Genomic DNA, 23,734 nt, shown 5'->3' with positions numbered 1-23,734 from the left:
GGCTTGATGTTGCTGGTTGGTTGATGCAGTTGCCTTGGAGACTGTCTTTTCCCTCCACCTCCCCTCCCTTGTCTGGAAGCTCTGGCCCTCCGCCTCCAGGGGTTGGAAGTAGTTGACATCTGTTTCTTGTATCAGTCCTTTGTGTTCTTGGTCTCAGCTCTGTGTGGAGAGATTCCTGGTGAAGTCTGAGCCAATCTAAGCAGATCCCCTCTCCTGCAGAGAAAACCTGGGGTGTGAACAGAGTTGGACCCAGGAGGGCTGAGGGGAAGACAATGGGGGATGACAGGCGAGCCCCAGCATGGCCTCTGAGCTAGGAGGCACTGCCTTCTCTGATGGGATTAGGCCGATTGATCATTTCTTACACAAAAATGCTCATTGTCCTCTACACCCTGCTTTCCTCCCAGGGGTACAGGCTCGGGAGAAGCAGCCTGCAGAGCCCCCAGCCCCTCTGCGGAGGCGGGCGGCCAGTGATGGACAGTATGAGAACCAGTCTCCAGAAGCCACATCCCCTCGTAGCCCTGGGGTTCGCTCCCCTGTCCAGTGTGTCTCCCCGGAGCTGGCTCTTACCATCGCTCTCAATCCTGGAGGGCGGCCCAAAGAGGTGAGTCCTTAAGCTGTATCTTGGGGCTATGGAGGGTAGTGGTGCCCACTTTAAATCTCCAGAAACCTGATGGTCAACTTGGCACTGATATCAGTATACTCAGTGATTTGTCTCCCCCTACGTCCTCACCCAAACTCTCTTCTCTGACATGTGGAGTCTGGGGCCCATTAAATAGCTCTATGTTCCCACTTCTTGCATTAATATTGAGATTGAAGTTTCCTTTTTGATTCCTAGAGAGAGTGCCTTAATAAGGTGGTAAGAATCCTGGGGATGATATAGGTGAACACAATTTCAAAACTCCAAACTAGATCCTGGAGAGTGGCAAAATTATTTTTGAGCCCTTTGCAGATATAAGGTTTTTCTCAGGAGATTTAATTTTCATTCCAAAAGATTTGCATTTCTAAGACATTTCAGTAGTTGGAGGCAGTGAGTCTCAAACTTCATCATGAGTAACAACCAATGGGGAGCTTGTTAAAACTGTAGCTTCCCAAATCCACCTCCAGAGATTTCAGGGTAGTAGATCTGGATGGGACCCAGGAATCTGCATTTTAAATGTGTGCCCTGGAAGATTCAGATGTAGGTGGTCCATGGGCCACATTGAGGGAGCGAGTGTACTGGCCTATAAAAGCCAGGCTAATGAGTCATTCTGGATAGAAGTGGCTTGTGGATATCTTTTCTCTCCTGCCTGTGGCAGGACCTGTCTCCTGCCCTGAGCACCAGTGAGGAGCCAGGCTGACGAGGGGATGTGGGGGCTGGTTAACTCACTGTCCTCATACCTCAGGTCATCTGAAGGGGAAATCTCTCCTTCTCATGGTTTCCCTCTTTTTCTCCCCTGTGTTCTCCCACAGCCCCATTTGCACAGCTACAAGGAGGCCTTCGAGGAGATGGAGGGAACCTCCCCGAGCAGCCCACCACCCAGTGGGGGTAAGAATTCCCTGTGAAGCTCGTCTTCCCTGTGTACCCTCCAGCCCCTCAGCTCAACCCTGCCTGTGGGAGTGCCCCAGGCCTGAGGGTTGGGGGTGACAGTGCCCCAGGTGGGGCCAGAACGTGCTGCTCCTCACTCCCATGGCCCCTTCTCTTCCATTGCTTGTGGCCATTGTCTTCTCCGTCGTCCACACTCACACATCTAAGGGTGCAGCCGCCCCAGTTTTAGGGTCCAGACTGAGTGACCATGGGACTCTGGGCTCCCACATTATGGAGTTTTCTTACTTGTTTTGAGTCTTTTTACCGTCCACACTCAAAAGACCCTACCATCTTAGCGTGACTCTTTGTGACTTGACTTTGACTTTGTTTCTGACCTCCATTTCTGCCTGCATCCAGACACCTCTTCCATTCCAGGCAACCTATTTAGCTTCTACCAAGGAGAGAGGGACCCAGGACCCTCAGGCTGACAGAGCCCCCAGCTCATCCATCCTTGGCCTCCAGGCAGAGGCATTTAGCCCCCAGCCCCTATACACTTACTGGGGAGGCAGATCCCCAAAGGACAGAGACACATCCACCTAAGGCCAAGACCCAAATGAGCCAAGGCATGGGGCAGTGTTCCTTTTTATAGAAGAAGAGACATGAAGAGGAACTGGAGGAGGTGGTTGTGGGGAAGGAAGTGATGGATTAATACCAGGCCACGAGGGACTCAGTGTACTCAGGAGAGGCCTGGGTCAGCACAAAAAGGAGACACTGGTGCTGTTCAGGGATCAGGTTGGCTGGGCCTGGCTCAAGCTATCCACTGGCCCTGGTGAGAGGAGGGAGAACTGGAGCTGGCTGTGCATTCCCCTAGGGGCTGGCTGTCCTGTACTGGAGAGGAATGTGGCAATGTACGTGGCCCCTGTGCCAACAGAACTTGTGTTGGCTGCCATCTTGGGCATGAGGAGGCTGAAGCTGTGACTGATTGGTGGCCCCAGGAAGCCGTGGCTCTCCCTTGAGCAGTACTGTCCAATGGAAATATACTATGAGCACATTTATAATTTAAAATTCTCTAGTAGTCACATTAAAAAGCATAACAGGAAACTGGTTACATTAATTTTAATAACATTTTTGTTAAATCCAAAATATCCTTTCAATAGGCAAATAAGTCAATAAAAATATTGAGCTATTTTACAATCTCTTATAAAATTTAAGAAGAAACTGGTGAAATTCATTTTAATATGTTTTATTTAACCCCAGTCTAAAATATTAGCATTTCAACGTATAATCAATGTAAAAAAGAACGGGATGTTTTGTGTTCTTTTTCATACTTTAAAACCCTGTGTGTGTTTCACACTTATGGCATGTCTCTGTTCACACTGGTCACCCTGCAACGGCTCTGCGGCCATGTGTGGCTCGTGACTGCTGTGCTGGACAGGGTGAGCCTAGAGCAGGTTACGTGAGAGCCAGCTCTGCAGCCTCTTGTGACTGCGGGGAACCTCTCTCACTTTCCATGGTGACATCTGCTTCCATTCACTGTTAGCTGTAAATGGCCAGGGAAAGGACATCACCTTGCCTTGGGTGGAAGCCACCTGGGCTGTGCTAGAACTGGGTTTTGCCTTCTTCTCTCCCTCCTCTTGGCCAGCCATGGGTACCTCGGTGAGAAGTCAGAGGTTCCATAGACACACAGGGTTAGGGAGAGAAGACAGAAGGTGGAGAAACGTGTGGAATTTTTCTCTCAGGAAGCAAAAGACTTGCCTGGCTTTAGCGTCGCCCACTCATCTGCCTCAGCAGAAGGGCCCAATTGCCCAGGAACTGGGGGAACGAGGAATTCAGGAGCTGGAGGTGAACAAGGGAGGAACCAAGAGAGAGCTCCTGCCCTGTCTGGTCCTCTCGTCCGCTTCACCTCCTCACGGGCCCACCTGCGCCTCCGCTGCACCAGTTGGTTAAACATGCGCGTACCTGTGGGCTGGGGCTGCTTCGTGGTTATTCCATGAATGACCGTCTCTGAGGCCAGGCATATTATTTCGTAATTAATTTCATTCAACCGCCATTGGTTTGACAAACATTAATAAGTGTTTGATAAGCGTCTATGAGCAAGACACCATGACAGGGAAGAGGGGGTGTGGCGGTGGTAGAAACAGAATCTGTGTGTGTCTATGTGTGTGTGTGTGTGTTTGTGTGTGTGTCTATGTAAAGACAGAGGGAGGATAGACAGAGACATGAGGCCTAGAGCTATCCCATACCTGGAGGTGTATGTTTGTACCCATTTGTCCCCTATGCTGTGTTTGTTCTTTGGACATCCAAGGACAGAGTGAGGGTGAAGGGCAGGGGTGTGCCACTCATCCGGACCCCTGTGATATCTTCCTGTTCCCACGTGCATGTGGGTGTTCACCTGCACAAACGAGTTATGTATGTTGCTTGCATGGAGAGAGAGTGTATTTTTTCATTGTTGTAAGATTCCTGTAGGTCTGACTGTCTTTTGGGGAAAGCAGCAGGGGCAGGGAGGGTCGTGGAGCATTTGCTGCTGGTGGTTCCTGGGCATCTGAGGGCCACAGCTAATCTGTTGAGGCCATTCGGCAGGCAGAGTATCCTTGGGGCTGTGGTCTCTGCAGGCTCCCAATGTCGTTGATAGGAGACACAGAGTTCATTTTTTAACTTCTTCTCAGAGCTGTGTCAGGAGACATGGCAGCTGCCACCCAGGTATCTCGTGACTGGGCATAACAGCCACCCTGCAGATCAGCTCTGAATCTGGCCAGGTTCTTGGCTAATGGGAAAAAGCCAGCAGCCCTTTCTGACCTTGTGTGTTACATGACACTTGTAACCCAGATGGGCGGCCTGGGAGGAGCCCAGGCTTCGCATAGGGAGTGGGTGCTCTTGGCCACAGACTATAGGCTTCTCCTCCTTCCAGGACACTGAGGTTTGGGGGGACAGAGCCCCACATTGAGAAGTTCTCTCCTCCTGGGCTTTTCAAGGGACATGCTTGGCCGAGGGCTGGCCTGAGGTCTCAGGGTTGGCGTGGCTCTGGCCCATTATCTCCTTCTGTCTCTGTCCTTTGCAGGGTGTGCCATCCTGAGGCCCAATTTTCTTCTGTTCTCTTCTGAATCCATCCAAGTACATGTTTTAAATGGACTGTGTGTGTCTGTGTGTGTGTGTGTGTGTGTGTGTGTGTTGGGTGAGGGTAGGAAGAGGGATGAGAGAGTATTATAGAGAAGGTCAGAGACAGCTGCAAAAGCCTGCGTGTGTGGTATAAGCCATTGCAAAGTAAAGGGACTGCAGCGAGAAGCTAAGGGCCTAGGGGTGGAAATGATTCTCTCAAGGTTGGGGCCAGAGCCAGGGCAAGGTTGCCATTTCCTGAGTCTTTCCCTTTATCCTTTAAACTGTTCAAATGTAGAGAAATACGGAGGCGGGAAAGGGCAGTGGAGCCAAAGCGCTGGGCCTCAGGGTGGTTCCTCGGCACCGTCTCCAGCCCCCCAGCCCTCACTAAGCGTGCCCTCACGTGCCTGGCGTGTCTGCCCTCCTGCCCACCTCTCACTCCCTGTGTCTCCCCTCTTCTTCCTGGCACAGTGCGGTCCCCCCCGGGTCTGGCCAAGACACCCCTGTCTGCTCTGGGCCTGAAACCTCACAACCCAGCGGACATCCTGTTGCACCCCACAGGAGGTGAGTTGGGAAGAGGGAAGATGGGGAGGGGGGCCAGGGGGAGGAGGACTCCTGTGGTTCTGGACAGAAACCCGGGTCTCAGAATCTGGTCAGCAGCCAGCTTTGTGCCCACACTGAGGTCAGGCCTGGGTTGGGGCTCTCTGTGTAGGGGTTGGGGGTGACAGATTTCCTTGCAGCCTTCCTGTCTGTTGACTTGTGGAGTTTGCACAACTCCCAGCCTCCTCTAGCTTGAGGCTTTGGAGGCCTGGTCTCAGTTTCCTTGGTGGTGTTGAGATCTCTGCTGGAAGCCACACATTCTAGGTGTTCAGGCCCTCGGGTACACGTACATGGGCGCACATACATGCACACATGGGTACACACACATGTACACACACACACATAGAGTCAGAGAAGCATGCCCCTGCTGCTGTGTGCCAGGGCCTCTGCTGGCAGCCCAGCTGGCTCTGCTCTGAGCATCCACGAAGCATCACAGGCATTCACCTGGCATCCACAAGGCATCACCTGGCATTCAGAGTGGTCTCTAGGTCTGCCTCTTCAGGCCCAGAGAACCCTACCAGAGAAACCCATGACTAGCAGTGGCCATCATTGCCTGCCGTTTCCTCGATCCCCTTGCCCTCAGCCCAGGTCTTCTCCTGACTGTCAAAGGACCTGCCACCTCCGGGCTTCTGACTCTCCCTGGCCTGTGCTCATCCCCCATCCCTACTCCCGATGCTGGCTGCATCTTACTCTGCTGCTGAGGAGAGCAGCCCAAGCTCTGAGGAAGGAAGGAGGATGGCTGCTCGGCCTCCCTGGGGTCAAACAGCCTGTCCTGTTGGCACGGTAGAGGGCAGGGCCCTGGGCCTGTCTGGGAGAAGGTGCTCCTCTGAGCAGACACCACCCCAGGTTCACACCTCCTACCTCCTCCTCCCATTTCCCAGCTCCTCTCCTTCTTATGGTGGAGGGAGACAGGGCTCCCTGGGCCCTTGGTGGCCATGTGGGGCCACTGAACTCAGAAAGCTGCTCCCTGGACTCTGGTTTTAGGGCTGGGTGGGGGCTATTGGGGTCAACTTTACTTTTTTCCTTAGTTACCAGAAGACGGATCCAGCCAGGTAGGTGGGCAGTGGCATGCATTTGTGACCCATGAAGCCACGCAGCTGGGCATAGCCTCCCACTCAGAGTGTCGGCATGGCCAGGGACACTGAGCCACGGGGGATCAGTAGAAGGGGGCTGGGGGCTGCCTCTCACCAGCCAGCACACTCCTGCTTGACACTTGGCCCACAGAGCCCTGGGCACAGGGGCTGCGAGGGGCTCAGGCTCCTGAGAGCCGGGGACTCAACTATGCCTCGGAGCCTTGGGGTCCTTTGCAGGGTGGGCCTCGGCCTTCCCCTTGGAGTCCTTCTGTGGACAGCGCAAATCGGCCCTGGCCTCACCCCAGCTTTCCCATCTCCGTTTTCTCCACAGATTCTCTTTCTCAAGAAATAATCCCTGTTAATCTCTTTCTCTCTTTTTCCTTTTTTGCTCTTCCTCATCTTCACCACCTGCCCTTCTTTCCTGCCTCTCCTTCCTCCCACCTCTCTTCTCGTCTTCCCTCAGAGGAAGATGAGGGGAAGGTGGTGGTCAGGCTGTCAGAAGGTAAGTAGCATTTGCTGTGACTTCCTGCTCTCTGGGTCTGGAAATGGCTTTTCAAAGCAGGGCTTGAAGAGGCTGGCTGGAGGCAGCTCTCTTTCCTCACTGGGACTCAGGCGACCAGGCACATGGCCTTCCTGTCCCCCAACGCTTGGTGATGAGATACCACCCTGGACACCTCCTGAGTCCTGATGGGGGAGCTTGTAGCTGCCAGGCGCTGGCTCAGGCACAGCCAGTGTCTGGGGGCTCCTGCAGTGTCACCTTGTTGACCAAAACGCTCCTCTTGCACCTTCCTCTCCCAGCGCCATTTGCACCAGCCTGCCTGGTGTGCAGCAGCTCATAGAGGTAGACAGGGAGGGACTCAGATCCCCTTTCCCGGGACGTGCTCCACAGGCATTTCTCAGAGAAGAGATTCTCCACGTTGGCACCACTGACGTTTTGGCCTGAATGACGCCTTTTTTTTTGAGATGGAGTTTTGCTCTTGTTGTCCAGGCTGGAGTGCAGTGGCACGATCTCGGCTCACTGCAACCTCTGCCTCCCAGGTTCAAGCAATTCTCCTGCCTCAGCCCCCTGAGTAGCTGGGATTACAGGCATGCACCACCACGCCCAGCAATTTTTTTTTTTTTTTGTATTTTTAGTAGAGATGGGGTTTCACCATGTTGGCCAGGCTGGTCTTGAGCTCCTGACCTTAGGCGATCCACCCACCTTGGCCTCCCAAAGTGCTGGGATTACAGGTGTGAGCCACTGTGCCTGGCCCTGAATGACTCTTTGTTGTGGGTGCTGCCCTGTGCACTGTAGGAGGATTAGCAGTGTCCCTGGATTCTACCTGCTAGATGCCAGTAGCTCTCACTCAGTCATGACAATCGAAAATGTCTCCAACATTGCCAGTGTCCCCTGGGGGGATAATTCTCCTGGCGCAGAGCCCCCATCTTACAGCCACGATTTGCCCTCTGGAAGCCCTGCCTGGTTTCCTATCAACACAGAAAGTACTAAGTCTGTCTTTCGGGGATCTCAGACAACTTCGCGTGTTTCAGGAAATCTATGGACTCACCGTGTATACAATAATGCATTGGGATTCCCATGCACGTAATTCTGAAAAGCAGTTTCAAGGAGTTGGCATGTCTATGGGTCCCAGAGGAACCCCTGATTTAGATGAGCCCTGCACTGGGCACCAGGGAAGCAGAGAGGGGGCATAATCAGGTGGGAGGCCTTGGACACACCAGGAGCAGAACTCGAGTGAGGACTCAAACCAGCAGGTGAAACAAAGTGGGTGCCAGCCTGGGCGGGAGGCCAGGGTGTGGTTCTGGGCACTGGCATCCCCCCCTCAGGAAGATGGGGCAAGATGGGTGCTGTGATCACTTCCAGTTCTGATGGGTTAGGTGTTCTGACTTCCCACCTGGGCCCTGGGCCGATTGGCTGGTTTTCTCAGGCCTATTTCCCATTTTCCTTTGACCACACCACCTTGATTTTCCACCCCCTAAGCGGGGATGGCCTGTGCTCCTCTAAATCTGCTGTCACCCAGGTAGGATGATTGGAGTTTCCCAGAAGACTTTGCCCTCTCCTGACCAGCTGGGGTTTGGGCAACAACATCAGGCTGCTCAGGGGCTGCAGAACAGGGCAGCTTCCAGAGACAGAACAGGTGGGCCACAGCATGCTTCCCTCTGCTGGGAACGGCCCCTCCTTGCTCCCCCGCAGCCTCATGCTTGGGGAAAGGGCTTTCTCCCAAGCTGGAGGCTGACTGCTGGTCCTGGCAAGGCAGGAGCTGGGAGAGAGAGTCTAGAATTAGCTGGAGCTCAGAGCCAACGTTTCTGTGCTTCAGATGCCGGACCACGCAATAGGCTCTCAGCTCTCCTCGCAGCTGGTTGACTTTAACAGACCAGTGGTATCTCAAACACTCTCCAGTGGGAAGGGCCATGGGGTGGATTATCCAGCAAGCTGGCAGAGCCTGGTGATTGTGTCTCTCACTTTGGGGTGACTTCAGGGGCGTGGGCCTCGACAGGACTGAACTATCTGCCAATTGCACCTGCTGAGTTACTCTCATCTTACAGGGCCCCAAGTGCTCTGGCCAGAGCCACAGAGTTTGGAGGGGAAGGTTCTTAGGGGTTAACTCAGCCACACCCATCGTTGTCACAGATATGCAGCTGACATCAGCACTGTGGGTGGTGTTGGGGGATCTGCCCAAGGTCACAGTTAGGAGGTAATGGAGCCAGACTGGAGTTATTGGTCTCCTGTCTCTTCCTCAAGTGGCCATTTCAAAGTCCTTCTCCTGCCTGCAGGCACCGTGCCCTGGGATTCCAGCGTGGGAGTTGGAATTGCTGCCCGTGGCCTGGGGAGTGGAGCGGGGAAGGGGCAGGGAGCAAAGCTGTGGGCAGCCAGTTCCTTATTTCCTGACTCATGTGCCACTGCCCGGGTCAGACTAAAGCTCATTCTTTGCTGACCCTCTGAGGCTCTGCTTGATTTCCTTGCTGATACTTTGATGGGAAATTCAGAAAAAAATGCCAGTGAGGCAAAAATGGCCAGAGGCAGGATTATTCGGCTTGGGGAAAAGAATAATTTGAGGGATGTCTGCTATGTCCCAGGCGCTGTGCGAAACACTTTACATTCATTCATTCTTTCATGCATTGATTCATTTATTCATAATACTTTGTGCGCTGACTGTTTGCCAGGCTTTGGGAATATAAGGATGTGTTAAGGCAGCTGGTGAGGAGAGTGATGCCAACAGACATTTCAATATTAGGCAAAAGTGCTGAGCTGAGGTAGGAATAGGATGTCATGGGGGCTGGGAGGAGGGGGCATGTGGCTCAATCTAAAATGTTTGGAATTCTAACTTTTGAGCTTCTAGATCTGGGACCTGGGGGTTTCCATATTCCCTTCTTTCTTTCCCACCCACATGTCTTGATTTTAGTTAGGGTGGGTGTGCCCCTTCTCTCCAAGCAAAGAGCCTCTTTGGGAGACAGAAAATGCACTTCAGGGTGTGGACAAGGAGCTGACAGTGCCAGACCGGAGGAGCCCAAGTCACCCTGTGCTGCAGCTGCTCTTCACCGCCAGCAGCCACTTGGCAGGGTTTGGGCTCCTGGAATGTTCTACATGAAGCACCCTCCCTGTCCCCACCTCTCCCGCCCTGCCCAACTCCCTGTAGCCTCTGATGCAGCTGCTCCAGGATTGGAGGGAAGGAGGAAAACAGCAGGAGAGGTGGTGCGAGTGAGGAGTGGAGGAAGGCAGGGATGGGCGGCTAGGAGCAGCGGAGGCAGCAGCAGGGCTGGTTCTGAACACTGGGCCTGGAATTGGCAGGAAAGAATTAGGAAGAACTTTCTTTCCTGCCTCTTCTCACCTGATCCTAGCTGGGCAGGTGGGTATCCTCATTCCCACTTTGCAGATGAGGAAACGGAGTCCCAGAAAGTCTCTAGTAAGTGCACGGGTGGTGGGTGAGGGGAGAGCTTGCAAGTAGAAGTATATTGTCCTGGGGTGGGAGAGAGAGAAAGAGCCAGGGAATAAACAGAAAAAGGAAGCATTTTCACTACGGAGATCTGCATCTGAAAACTTGGGAAAACTAATGTTTAGCCCTGAAGATGGGTTTTAAACAGTTCTGGAGATGAACTCAGGAAATCAAATAACTTCTCAAAGGTCCTTCCCGCTCTGGGTTCATGAGGAGTAGAGATTGTATGGAAGGGCTTCGTTCATCTCCACCCCATGATCTGGGACTGGAAGGGCAGGTAGGGGTGGCAGTGGGAGGGCAGACCAGCTGACCAAGGAAGAGGATGCACTGGGAAGGAGAAAGGAGGTGGGGGCCCGGTGAGGGCAGGGCCAGGTGGGGCTGGGTCTGAGTGGCCTTGGCTAGGTTGGCCACCCAATGCACAAGGGCTGTTTCCAACATTGTGGTCAGAATGGATGCTGCTGCTTCTCCCTGGGCGAGCCATCCTGTTCCCCAAGTTCAGACTCCCAGTGTCTTGAGAACTCCTCTGGTGTTCTGCAGTTTAGGAGCTGAAGGGGCCAATGGGACTGTTGCCTTAAGAACTTGGCCATGCTATCGAGCCATCTCAGGGTTTCTAATACACTGTCCCATGGGCCCTCCATGCAATCTTGCCATCAGACTCCCAGGCTGCAGCTCAGGTGCCTGTGTTTAGGCCAGAAGCAGTTAGTAGACCCAGCCTTGCCTAATGGCAAGTAAGCACCCGCAAGCCACAGGCTTGGCTGTGTCCTGACCACAGGACGGGGTGGTGTGGCCCACTTTATCTCAGTTTTACTGTTGCTAGCAGGGGTACCTGTACTTCTTTAAAAGGGTGGGGCGTAGGGCAATGTGAATTGCTTACCTAATGTGTGGGTCAGGGGCCTGGTGGGAAACTGATGGTTCATTCCAATGGAGCAACCTAGGACAGTTGATGGACTCTTAAAAGGTCTGGGCAGAGCAGTGAGGGATGGTAAAGCACCCCGAGTGCTCCCTATCAGGAGCAGGGAGCCATCCTCCCAGGCCTTAAGGAACCAGGAGGGAGCTGGAGGGCAGGGCTGCTGACTGGAGTGTGGCTAGAGGGAGGTGGGTAGGGGATGTAGCCACTGGCACCTTGCCCTTCTCTCTCCCTCCCTCTCATACCCTGCCAGTCCCTCCTTACTAGCCAAAGGCCAAAGCTATCCTGAGCCAGAGACTAAGGGGGTCTGGATGACATAGTAAATAAAAGTCTGCCTTCAGGGATGCAGATCAGGGTAGAGAGTAGATCAGGAGCGACGTCAGTGAATTGGGGAAGAGCACACACCTTCACAGTGTCATTCACATAGGTTTCAACTTGAACTTCAGGGAATGAGAAAAATGGATGTGTGCCTCTGAGGTCTTACTATGTGTCTCTGGATGGGGCTGGAGGGTAAGGATCATGCTTCTGTGACTTTGTGGAGCACATGCAGATTGAGGGCCTGCTGTGTGCCAGGTGCTGTGTGAGGGCTCGGCACACAGATCAGCTAGGCAGGCTCTGGGAGCCCACGGGCAGCCAAAGAGTGGCTTTCTCTCCCTGGCTGGGAGAGAGGTGGTGCCGAGAGCCGTGGGGACCTGGGTGTAGCCATGATGAGTGCCTGGAAGGGTCTGGGAAGAGTTTTCAGAGAGTGACCTAGGGTGGCAAGAGACGGGAGGGGAGAGTGGACTCTGATCTTGGGTGTCATTTGCATGGCTGTGGGTGAGACTCCCTCTGATGTTCTCTTCTCCCAAGTTGGGTTACCAGTTGCCCAAGACTAAAGACACTCACTGAAACTATTGGCTTCCCGACTTGCAGAGGGTTGTATGTGCAGTGGGTAAGGGCAGGTTGGGGCCAGACTGCCTGGGTTCCTTGGCTGACTGTGCCCCTTGCCAGCTGTGACCTGGGCAAGGTACTTACATCCCCCGAATCCTACTTTTCCTGTATAATTGTTTGCTCTTTTTATCACTAGGAATAGCCCTATGGAGTTGGCTTTTCTCTGCCTGATGGGCTGAAGTGCTGGATAGAGCCAGCTCTGGGTGTCCTGTGAGCCTATGGGCCCTGTCTAGGTCACCCAGAGCCAGCTTGTGAGTCTGGAGACTTTGGTGCTAGTGTTCACTGCCACTAATTATCCATGTGTCCTGGCGCACGGCTCCACCTCTCTGGGCTGAGGAGATAGGTTAGATCAGGGGTCAGCACACTGTGGCAGCTGGTCAGATCCTGTCCACTGACTATTTTGGTAAAGAAAGTTTGATTGCAACCCAACCATGCCCATTCACTGTCCTGTTGTCTATGTAAGCTGTCACACCACAACAGCAGAGTTGTGTAGTTGCAACAGTGACAGCCTTACCCACCAGCCTAAGATATTTACTATTAAGTCTTTACAAAAAAGTGTACTGGGCCTGGTCAGGGGATATCTGCATTGTCTTCTAGTTCCAGCAGAGCCTCGTGCTTGGGTGGCACAGAATCCATGCCTTTGGTATGAATTTGGCCTGGGCCTTCTGCGAGGAGGTGGGTGGCCTGGGCTGGTTGAGGGAGGATTTCGAGGAGGCCTTGCTGGCACTGCCTACATGGATTCCAGCTTTGGGTGCCGAGGTGCCTGGTTCTACATCACCTTGTGCCTGCTACCTAGAATAGACCTCCCGTGCCTGCCTCTTTGCAGACAAACTGCCCCAGCCTTGTCCACTGTCTTGCTGTTGGGTGGAGGGGGTTCTGTATGGGGACAAAAGACAGACGGGCAGGCTGTGGCTGGAGCTGTGTGCAGACTCCATTGCAGCCTCTGGGTCCTGCTCTGTAAAGGGTCCTGTGCTGAGGGACCATCCTCTTCCGGGGTCTAGAGAGGCCTCTGGCCTGGGTGTAGGATGTCAGACCTGAGGGCCACCCCAGAAGCCACTCCACGGAGGCCATGCCCCTATGCAGCAAAGGCTGGAAGCACCCTGCTAGCACCCTGGTGACTAGGCTCCTTCCAAATTAAGGTTTTCTTTGGGCTAAGGGGAGGAAGGTTGCATTTCAGCTAGCTGGACCCCAGGCCTGTCACCCATGAGGGACCTGGAGGAGGGACCTGGAGGACCTGACTATTTTGGTAAAGAAAGTTTGATGGCAACCCAGCCATGCCCATACACTGTCCTATTGTCTATGTAAGCTCTCACACCACAACAGCAGAGTTGTATAGTTGCAACAGTGACAGCCTGACCCAACAGCCTAAGATATTTACTATTAAGTCTTTACAAAAAAGTGTACTGGCCCTGGTTAGGGGATCTCTGCATTGTCTTCTGGAGGAGACCTGGAGGAGGGGGCTCTTCTCCAACTCTGACCATTGCAGTCTTGGCCAGCAGGGGCTGCAGGGGCCTGGCCTCCTGAGGGATGCACAGACTCTGGTTCTTCAGTTTCTCAGGCTGATTTCAGTGGATGCCTTAGTTGTGGGCAGTATGGCTCTGTACTCAGGCCAGGTTCCTCCTGGGTAAGACAGGGACAGGGTGGGATTTGGAGGTGGTAGGAATGACATTCCTCCCGGATCATGGCCCGGGGTAAACAAGAGCGTTCTGTTGCTTCTTCCTCTTTCAAGCGGAGTTCGTTTGGGAGCTGGCCTCAGAGGCCGTAGAGGAGTTGGGCAGGTGCCGGTCTGGGAGTCGGGCCATCTGGGGACCTAGTCATTTCCCTTGTCGGGCCTCAGCATCCATCCTTATCTGTAAAATGGCCTTTTCTAGCGTGTGTCCCCCACCCCCTCTTAGGCTGTTTTGAACACCAGGTAGTGCCGTGTATAATGAGGTCCTCTGTAAACTAAACTGCTCAGTGCTACAGGAATGCCAGAGGTGGGCGATGGAATGTTGAGTTCCGCCTGGGAATGGGGTTCCCTGATGCCAGTCTCTAGAGGAATGCTGAGTGTGTCAGGCAGAGAGGGGTGGGTGTGTCTTGGCATCAAAGGGGCTGGTGAGTCTACAGCAGCCCCACAGGGCAAGACTCACCAGTGCAGGCCTGTTGCTAGGTGGCCAAGGCTGTTTCTGGATTCTGGGCAGGGGGTGGAGCTCACATGAACTCTGGCACTATCCTGGGATACAGGCAAGGCAGGGATGGACCTCTGGGCCCACTGTAGGGCCCCAGACTCTAGTGGCACGAGGAGAACCTGGAAGGGCCTGGGTGCTGAGCAAGATCATTGAAGAAAGAGAGCAGCCAAAGGGGGTGCCAGCTATGGACAGCCTCCTAGTCCTTGGAGGGAAGAGTCTCTGATGGCCATGTTCTGAGGCGGGGCCTGGGATCCATTTCAGGGCCCCCTCCTCTGAGCAAGGCCCTGGTGAAAGGTCACTGCAGGGCAGGGTGGGTCTGGGCAGGCAGGAGCCCTGCCTGTCCTTTGGGGGCTATTCCTATGTTCCCAGGCAGGAGTCCAGGAAGCTGTGTTCCAGGGGAGGTTGGGGGGGACCTGCACTGCACCCCTGTGCATCTGTGCTCAGTGTCTCTGTCCTCTTGCCCCTTCCAGAGCCCCGGAGCTATGTGGAGTCTGTGGCACGGACAGCGGTGGCTGGACCCCGAGCTCAGGACTCTGAGCCCAAGAGCTTTAGTGCTCCAGCCACCCAGGCCTATGGCCATGAGATACCCCTGAGGAACGGGACCCTGGGTGGCTCCTTTGTCTCCCCCAGCCCCCTCTCCACCAGCAGCCCCATCCTCAGTGCTGACAGGTAAGCCGGGAAGGGGCAGTGGGTGGGGGATGGGAATCCGGGCCTGGGACTGGGACGGGATGGGTGAGGCCTCCTGGATCTGTTGCCTATGGCGTGGACAGGCAGAAAGCATACCCAGATGGCGGTACCTTGCAAACCAGTTCATCAAGGTGCATTGAGGGCACATGTCCTGCGCGCTGAATCCTGTGGGGAGCCCAGTGACCTATAATTCCCAGGCCGCATTCAATTCCGCCCATCCAAAACTGTGCTGGAAGGAGTGAAGGGTACCACGGTGAATGTGGCAAAGTCCTTCCCCAAGTTGAAAATCTACCAACAGTAATGACTTATGTAGTGGGCTCATCCTAGGTACCTGGCACTTTGCTAAGTGCTTTATGCAGTTATTTAATCCTCGCAGCAATCCTAGGAGGTGAGCACTATTATTGTTCCCACTTTTCAGAAGAGGAACCTGAGGCATAAAGGTGCCACAGCTAAGCAGTGGCAGAAATCAGATTCAGGTGGAAGCGTGTGATTCCAGAGCCCGCATCTCTATCCTCTGCCCCAGACCTGCATCATGGCGCCCTCCCTGCACAGGATGAGAGTCAGATGGGCCCAAAGCCCACACATGAGTGAAGGGCTTGGAGCTCAGAACAAGGGGCCATTATTTCTGGCTAGGGATGCAGCGAGGATTTCTGAGGGCTGGAGGCATTTGTGAAGGGTGTAGAGGAAGTAGCAGGATGTTGAAAGATGAAGAAAGAGAGACAGGGCATTCCAGAAGGACAGCCCAGCAGGGACAGAGGACTGGGCTGTGGCCATGTTGGGAGTGTGAGGCTGAGGGCATGTGGCCTGCCATTAGGGGATGCCTGGGTGGATGGATGGCTGGCATCCATATTTCTGAGTGCATCACACAGAGATGAAAGCCCAGAGGTGGGTGACAGTCCCTGCTGACAGGCTTAGTGGAGGGGTGCAGCAAGGAGCTGCTTGACTGGGGTAGTGGGGGTGAAGGTGGAGGGGACAAAGAGATGGGATGACGGCATAGGAAAGGAGGGTTGCAATCAGCTCAGGCAAGGCATCGAGTGCCAGGCAAAGGAGGAGGACCTAGGAGGTGTCGCCCCCAGGAGGGGAGACTCTGCCCTGACCATCCCTTCTTCGCCGTGCCCACTGCCCTCCCTAGCCTGGGATGTCACAGAGCCTGCAAATTCCCCTGCCAGGCCCAGTGGGTCCAGTTTGCTGCACAGTCTACATTGGCTCAATGCTGAGCCTCCCCTGCAAGTGGGGGCACCATGGGATGACTAGGGGAGCAGATGAGCAGAGGCAACTGTCTTCTGGATTCTAAGCCAAGCATTCCCCTTCCCCAGCCTCTTAACAGGCAGCAGCCTGCGTTGCTCAGGAGGCCTGACTCTGGCCGAGGGTTGCATTTCCTATTTTAAAGGAAAGGGGATTTTCCTAAGTTGTCCCAGCCACCCATTGTTGATGTTCAGTGAGCCCTGGCATTAGGAAGTTGTTCATTGTTTCTCACTCAAATCCCTCCTGCTGAAGTGTTGGCCCTTTCCAGGAAGCTAGCCTTTCTCCCCTGGGATTAGCCTTCCAGAACTCCATTTTAGTGTCTCCTTCTCTCACCCTGCTCAGCCTGGCTCTGTCTCCCACTCCTCAGAATCCAGTTTATTCTGGATTATACCAGGAGGTGGCCTTCTGCTTTGGCCCCTTCTGGGATGCAAGGTAGACTTTGCCCTAGCCTGGCCCCTGACCTTCTCCTTGCCCTTGGCTCTTGCCTGGCCCAAGAGCACACCCCCAACCAAAACCTCATATCACCCCGTGAACCTGAGCTTATCCAGCCTGGCCCAGGGAGGGCCAGCCCACAACAAGATCCTTCCAGCCTGCAGCTCCAGGTTTTGGCCCATTGGCTAAGTAAGGACCTCTCCCCATGGGGGGTTCCTGGTGCACAGCCTGCCTGCTCCCTCCCTACATACTAGTTTATGTAAGGCCCCTGTCAACCTTTGTTTCTCTCACCATAGTTGGATAGAAATTTGGGTCTAGAAGGAGTCAGGGTCACCTAATCCAGTCCTGTCATTTTCCACATGGAAAAACTTTAATAAGCAAAAAAACTCACTGGCCATCACATTGTACTGCTGTGCTTTCATCTGTCACTCCATGCAGACCTAGACTTAACTTTACAAGGGAACCTTTGACTGTGGCAATTACCCCAGGTATAGTCTCCTCTGAACTGAGTTGTTTCAGAGTCAGAATTGGTAGTGACCTCTGAGCTCATCTCATCTAACCTCCCAATGCAGGAAATTCCCTCTACAGCATTCAGGCCAATAGGTCTGTCAGCCTCTGCTTAAATGCTCCTAATGACAGGAGCCTCATTACCATGCAAGACAGCTTTCTCCATTGGTGGCCACATCCCCAGTGGCTGGAGAGCAGACCTTACAATGACCTCAAATCCCCTGATGTGAAACCTTCCCCTGTGATTCCTTGTCTTTGCTTTTTTGGAGCCATCTAGGAGTGAAAGCCCAATTCTAGCACTCTCTGTCAATGTTTAAGGATGATGATATCACACTTGAGGAAACTGAGTCAAGACAGGGCTACTCCCAGTAGGAACAGGAGCCAGGAAACTCCATTAGGAATTTCTGTGATGCTGGAGGCTATAACATGACAGCCACCTCCAGTTTCGATAGGAGAGGGCTCTTCACTTTGACATGGCTCAGGAGTGAGCATGGTGCAGTGGGGAAGACGTGGGCTTTGGAATCAGACACAGCTAAGTTGAAACCCTGGTCTTTTATAAGCAGTGTGGTACTAAGCCTACTGCTTAACCTCCCTGAGCCTCAGTTTCTTCTTCTGATGGTTCTGTAAGGTAACGTATAAAACCCTGATGTCCTTCCGCACTGCCAGTGGGACCATTCTTACTGTTGTTCATGGTTGGAGGGAGGGCAGACAGCCTGCTGTAAATCCACCCTTCATTCAGTTCTGTCCACTGACATCGCAACCTGCCATCTCTCTGCAGCACTTCAGTGGGGAGTTTCCCGTCGGGAGAGAGCAGTGACCAGGGTCCCCGGACGCCCACCCAGCCTCTGTTGGAGTCTGGCTTCCGCTCAGGCAGCCTGGGACAGCCCAGCCCGTCTGCCCAGAGAAACTACCAGAGCTCTTCTCCTCTCCCGACTGTGGGCAGTAGCTACAGCAGCCCCGACTACTCACTTCAGCATTTCAGCTCCTCTCCGGAAAGCCAGGCTCGAGCTCAGTTCAGTGTGGCTGGCGTCCACACGGTGCCTGGGAGCCCTCAGGCGCGCCACAGAACAGTGGGCACCAACACTCCCCCTAGTCCTGGCTTCGGCTGGCGGGCCATCAATCCCAGCATGGCTGCCCCCAGCAGTCCCAGTTTGAGCCATCACCAGATGATGGGTCCACCAGGCACTGGCTTCCATGGTAGCACTGTCTCCAGCCCCCAGAGCAGTGCAGCGACCACCCCGGGGAGCCCCAGCCTGTGTCGGCACCCAGCAGGGGTCTACCAGGTTTCTGGCCTCCACAACAAAGTGGCCACCACCCCGGGGAGTCCCAGCCTGGGCCGGCACCCTGGGGCTCACCAAGGCAACCTGGCCTCCGGTCTTCATAGCAATGCAATAGCCAGCCCTGGAAGCCCCAGCCTGGGCCGTCACCTCGGAGGGTCTGGATCTGTGGTTCCCGGCAGCCCCTGCTTGGACCGGCATGTGGCCTATGGTGGCTATTCTACCCCGGAGGATCGGAGACCCACACTGTCCCGGCAGAGCAGTGCCTCTGGCTACCAGGCTCCTTCCACGCCCTCCTTCCCTGTCTCCCCTGCCTACTACCCTGGCCTGAGCAGCCCTGCCACCTCCCCGTCACCAGACTCCGCAGCCTTCCGGCAAGGGAGCCCAACACCAGCCTTGCCAGAGAAGCGAAGGATGTCAGTGGGAGACCGGGCAGGCAGCCTCCCCAACTATGCCACCATCAATGGGAAGGTGTCTTCGCCTGTCGCCAGCGGCATGTCCAGTCCCAGTGGGGGCAGCACCGTCTCCTTCTCCCACACTCTGCCCGACTTCTCCAAGTACTCCATGCCAGGTGGGCCTCTCCCCCTTCCATTTTCACCTCTCCTGCTGATGAAGTAAGTAGAAGAGTGAAATATCTATCCCAGTGTCTATTCTGACATTCTCTTGGCAGACGACCCTGGGTGAATCACTGACTTCTGGGACTTAGTTTCTTTATCCGTATAAAGAGAGTTGGAGGTATCCTTACGATACGTGTGCTGTGGTTGTGGATGCTGAGATGAGGATGTGGATACAGATGAGGATGATAAAAATCATAATGAATAGTATTACTGTTATGATTATCATCGTCCTCATAGCCATTACCACTCATTGAGCACATGCTGTGTGCCAGGCTCTGAGCTGAGTACTGTGTCATTTAAGCTTCTTGGCCACTTAGTAAAGTAGGTATTAATATTATTAACCCCAGTTTACAAACTGAGGCTTAGAGGCTCTGTCACTTGTCTAGTATCATACAGTCAAGAAATGGCAGAGCCAAGGCTTCCAATCCAGGCCACGCCACCCCAAAACTAATGGTCTTCAAGCATCACTGGAGTTGTCTTTATCATGTGTCCATATCTTGGGGGTCATATTTAGCATGACCTTGAAAACCTGCCTTCCAAACCTGGATCTCCATACCTTTGCCAGCCCCACAGTGCCACATCACTCCTCGTAGACCCAACTTCATCGAAACTCATGCAGGTTTGTGCAGTGAATTCTTCACTTATCGCCAGAACTTGCCACCTTTGCCTCTACTTAGAAAGCTCATTGTCTAAACACAAAGGCCAACTTTGAACTTGACTGTGTGCACAGTGGCCCTGGATGTTTGAGGCAGATTTAGAATGTTTTGGGCAGCCTCAGATGGGCCCCAGCTCCCTAGATTCTCCCGGCGTCACTCTCAGGTCCTGCCCTGAGCCTGCCAAGCCAGGACACCTAGAATGACCCTGCACTGCCTGTTTCCTGCCGCCCACCGGGGACATCTGGTTCCCAGCCCCTCTCCTTGAAGGATGCAAAACTTCTAGTAGCTGGGACACTTCCTGTTTCCCACCATCTTCCCTGCTTAAAATAGCCTTTGGAGTCAACACAGGAAGGCACGTGGGACTGCAGCCGCCTCTGACAGCTCGTTAAACAGGCCACGGCAGCAGTGGGGCCTGGGGCTTCAGACAGAGAAAGGCAGCCTGCAGCAGTTGCATGGCCCAGCTGCCTAACCCAGAGACCTTCCTTAGCACACGGCTGCCAGGAAAGGGAGCTGACCTCTCCCCTCACACTCGCCCGGAGACAGATCCCAGAAGCATAAGGGAGTGTAAATCATAGGTTGAAATTGACTAAGCACTGGAGACACAACTTGTGTCTCCTGATCTGCTCTCTTAACTTTGCAGTGTCTTTCATGCCAACTTCTGTCTCTGAAGACAGGAGAGGAAAAATGTGGAATCCTCATCTTTTTCTGTTCTCCCTCCCTTTTTGTGTTTTCTTTGGTGCCAAAAGCTGAAGGAAGAGGTTGAGAGTGAGGGCCGCACATCCTGATGCTTAGACAGGAAGATACAGTTTAGCTGGTCCTAAACTGACTGCTAGGGCCTCTTACCAAGGTCACCATCTGTGTGACTTGGGCAAGTCACTTCTCATCCCTGAATTCCTCCTTTTATGTAAAATTAGGCAGTTGGACTGTGTCCTGTCTGAGCTCCCTCCAGAATCTAATGTTCTATGACAAATTCCCAAGGTCTGCAGAGTCTGGGCATGGGTGTGTGTGGGGGTGCTGTCTGCCTGAGAAGTGGGGTGCCTGACATGCAGTAGATGGCCTCTAGATTCTAGGCCAGCCATCACCTGTTTGATCCAAAGAGAAGTGATTTTTTTTTTGTTCTATGTGATGCAGAACATAGGCCTTCCCTGTGGAAAGTGAGGAGAGGCCTGGGGAAAAGGGGGAAGAAATGGATCTTTCTGCCCTCATCTTCATGGTGGGTATGCTGAAGTTGAGAAACTGAACCTGTGGAGAAAGGTTCTAGAAGCAAGTGTTTTAGGCCATGGGAGAAAAGCTGTAGGAAGGCTTTAGTCACAGTCTTCTAGGGAAAGGGGGACACGGGGTGGAGGAAGGCTTTCAGTGGGCTCTGTGGGAATGCAGTGCCAGGCCCTCCACCAGGAGGTGGCTCAGCCACCCAGATGGCGGGCAGGGGATAGGGGATGGATGAGGAGGCCGAAGGTCCCTTCCACTGTGTTCGCATGGTGTTCGAGGACATCAGCTTTTGATGTCAGTTTCCTGGGGCTGCCATAACAAAGGACCATGTGCTTAGTGGCTTATAAATGACAGAAATATGTTCTCTCACAGTTCTGGAGGCTAGAAGTCCAAAATCAAGGTGTTGGCAAGGTTGGCTCCTTCCTGATGTTCTAGGGGAGAATCTGTCCCAGGCCTCTCTCCCAGTTTCTTGTGGCTGCCAGCATCCTTGGTGTCCCTTGGCATGTAGACGCATCACCCCAGTCTCTGCCTGCACCTTCCATGGTGCTCTCCCCTGTGTGTATCTCTGTCTCCTCTCCTTGTAAGGACACCAGGCATACAGGCATACTGGATTAAGGCTCACCCTAATCCTGTGTGACCTCATCTTAATTTGTCTACATCTGCAAAGACCCTATTTCCAAATAAGGTCAAATTCACAAGCACTGGGGGCCAGGACTTTGATGTATGTTTTGGGTGAACACAATTTAACCCATAACACTTTCTTCCCTTCTCCTGCTTTAGACAACAGCCCGGAGACGCGGGCTAAAGTGAAGTTTGTCCAGGACACTTCTAAGTATTGGTACAAGCCTGAGATCTCCAGGGAGCAGGGTGAGTGCTGGGCTCTGTGGTGCATCAGAGGCCATAGCTGGCTGAGGCCTGCTGTGTCTTCCCTGGGCAAGGAACAGAGGCAAATTCAGTCCTCTTTGTAGCAGGGGGTCATCACAGAGGGGGCTGGGGTTGAAGCTGGACAGTAGGAAGCACTTCCTGCAGTGAAGTGTGGGAACACAGAAGCAGTAGTTGTAGACACCTCTTGGAAGGGTTCTTAAAAACAGCAAAGCCTTGGTTTTCCTGGGCAAAGTAAAAGGTCTGCTAAGATAATATGAAACCTTAGCTCTCTGTCTGCCTGATGTGGGAGGTTTTTGCATTTTACAGGGAGAGAGAACAAAGTTGGGAATAGGGGAATGATTCTCAGGGGAAGGCTGGGTGTGGGACAGGGGTCAGCAACGGCAGCCCATGGGTCAAATCTGGATGCTGCCTGCTTTTGTAAATGAAGTTTTACTGGGGCGCCCCCACACCTGCTGGCTTGCATCCTCCCTGTGCTGCTGTCCTGCTGCAGTGGCAGAGTGGAGTAGTTGTAGCAGAGGCTGCATGGCCTGCGAAGCCTGAAATATTTACTCTCCGGCCATTTACAGAGTAAGTTTGCCAGCCAGGTGTGGTGGTGCACACCTATAATCCCAGCACTTCAGGAGGCCAAGGCAGGGGGATCACTTGGGGCCAGGAGTTCGAGACCAGCCAGGGCAACATAGTGAGATCCTGAATCTACAAAAAACAAAAAGAAAATGAGCCAGGCAAAATGGCACACACTGAATAGTGGCCTGTGGTCCCAGCTACTGGAGAGGCTGAGGTGGGAGGATCACTTGAGCCCAGGAGGTTGAGGCTGCAGTGAGCCATGATTGTGCCACTGCATGCCAGCCTGAGTGACAGAGTGAGGCCCGGTCTCACAAAAACAAACATAAAAACCCAACAGAATAAGTTTGCCAACCTGAGTACAGGAAGACCCGTAGGAGTAGTTAAATTTTAACTTTAAAGAAAATTTGTCTCACCTAAGAAAGAACGAAGGTCGGTAGGCTCAATGAGACTTAAGTAAAACTAGCGCCACCGAGGTCTTGCTTCCTCCTCTCTCCTTGTCCCTTCCCCATGCAGCCATCGCGCTCCTCAAGGACCAGGAGCCGGGGGCCTTCATCATCCGCGACAGTCACTCCTTCCGAGGCGCGTACGGGCTGGCCATGAAGGTGTCTTCGCCACCTCCAACCATCATGCAGCAGAATAAAAAAGGTAACCTCATCTCCCAGAATGGGGCTCAGGACCAGGTGAGCTTTACAGTCGCTAAACCTGGAGGTGCTGGAGGGACCCAGGGTGCTGGGCAGGACCTTAACTCCCATCAGGCTCTTCGGAAGAGGGTGTCTTGGGCTTGGTGATGGTTGAGGTCAGAGATTGGGAAAGCAGGACGATTGGGTGCCTGCCATGTGTTTCCTGAGGGGTGGGAGAGCAGCAGTGGGCTCTGCAGTCCATGGGGCTCCAGCCACGTTCTCTCTTCAGTCATTTCTCCCATCTTGGCCCCGCACACTGCGGAAGTTTTGAAGCAGTCTTGGGAGGTGGTGGGAGGAAGCCATGGGCAGGGACTGAGCCTTATTTCTTTCTCTTTGTCCCAGGAGACATGACCCATGAGCTGGTCAGGCATTTTCTGATAGAGACTGGCCCCAGAGGAGTCAAGCTCAAGGGCTGCCCCAATGAGCCAAACTTCGGTGAGCTGTCCCCCTGCCCCCATCTCTACAGTCTGGCCTGAGTCTTGGTCCTGTCCTGGGTTCCTCCAGGGGTCTGACCCCAAGTTCTTTCTGACAGGCTCTGCCAGTCACCCTTGTCATAAATTCAGCAGAGAAAATGAATGAAAGCTTCTCTCCCTCCGCAGTGCGGCTCCTAACTCTGCCAAACTGCAGTCTGTGTTTGTCCGACCCAGCTGGGACTTGTTATCATTATAACTGGAGTAACAATGGTAAAATCAGCTGCCTTAATTGACCACCTACCATGTGAATGTCACAGTCTCAGCACCTTCTATCACATCTGGCCTCACAACCATC

At 53.7% G+C, this 23,734-nt stretch overlaps 1 protein-coding gene and 1 non-coding gene across 29 annotated transcripts in view, besides 2 other annotated features; both read left to right on the top strand.

Moving 5' to 3' along the window:
- The window catches only part of TNS1 (tensin 1), a 234,192-nt gene that overhangs the window by 197,367 nt on the left and 13,091 nt on the right, over positions 1 to 23,734 (top strand). For 16 of the 28 annotated variants that reach the window (XM_047445637.1, XM_047445639.1, XM_047445638.1 and 13 more), the window contains 10 exons: positions 405 to 601; positions 1,450 to 1,525; positions 5,069 to 5,161; positions 6,226 to 6,249; positions 6,602 to 6,772; positions 14,678 to 14,876; positions 17,857 to 18,926; positions 21,618 to 21,704; positions 22,800 to 22,931; positions 23,309 to 23,401. In XM_047445637.1, coding sequence (XP_047301593.1) covers positions 405 to 601; positions 1,450 to 1,525; positions 5,069 to 5,161; positions 6,226 to 6,249; positions 6,602 to 6,772; positions 14,678 to 14,876; positions 17,857 to 18,926; positions 21,618 to 21,704; positions 22,800 to 22,931; positions 23,309 to 23,401 — 2,142 coding nt within the window. The remainder of the gene's footprint in view (positions 1 to 404; positions 602 to 1,449; positions 1,526 to 5,068; positions 5,162 to 6,225; positions 6,250 to 6,601; positions 6,773 to 14,677; positions 14,877 to 17,856; positions 18,927 to 21,617; positions 21,705 to 22,799; positions 22,932 to 23,308; positions 23,402 to 23,734) is intronic. The other 12 variants (NM_001438865.1, NM_001387777.1, XM_047445641.1 and 9 more) reach the window with 5 other exon arrangements.
- SNORA115 (small nucleolar RNA, H/ACA box 115) lies at positions 2,883 to 3,026 on the top strand. Its single transcript, NR_145792.2, has one exon. It is a non-coding gene; the product is annotated as a small nucleolar RNA, H/ACA box 115 (small nucleolar RNA).
- Positions 15,981 to 16,481: an enhancer, noted in NCBI's record as "H3K4me1 hESC enhancer chr2:218684858-218685358 (GRCh37/hg19 assembly coordinates)". NCBI's record gives its function as "activates a minimal SCP1, AML or CMV promoter by ChIP-STARR-seq in primed H9 embryonic stem cells {active_cell/tissue: H9 hESC(primed)}" and the evidence as "EXISTENCE:reporter gene assay evidence [ECO:0000049][PMID:30033119]".
- Positions 22,040 to 23,239: an enhancer, noted in NCBI's record as "CDK7 strongly-dependent group 2 enhancer chr2:218678100-218679299 (GRCh37/hg19 assembly coordinates)". NCBI's record gives its function as "activates an origin of replication core promoter dependent on BRD2, BRD4, P300/CBP, MED14 and CDK7 cofactors, with strong dependence on CDK7, by STARR-seq in HCT116 cells {active_cell/tissue: HCT116}" and the evidence as "EXISTENCE:reporter gene assay evidence [ECO:0000049][PMID:35650434]".

This window comes from Homo sapiens, chromosome 2 (assembly GCF_000001405.40).
Source record: "Homo sapiens chromosome 2, GRCh38.p14 Primary Assembly".
Lineage (NCBI taxonomy): Eukaryota > Metazoa > Chordata > Mammalia > Primates > Hominidae > Homo > Homo sapiens.
Note: the sequence above shows the minus strand (reverse complement) of the source record. Positions and strands in the feature narration are given on the sequence as shown.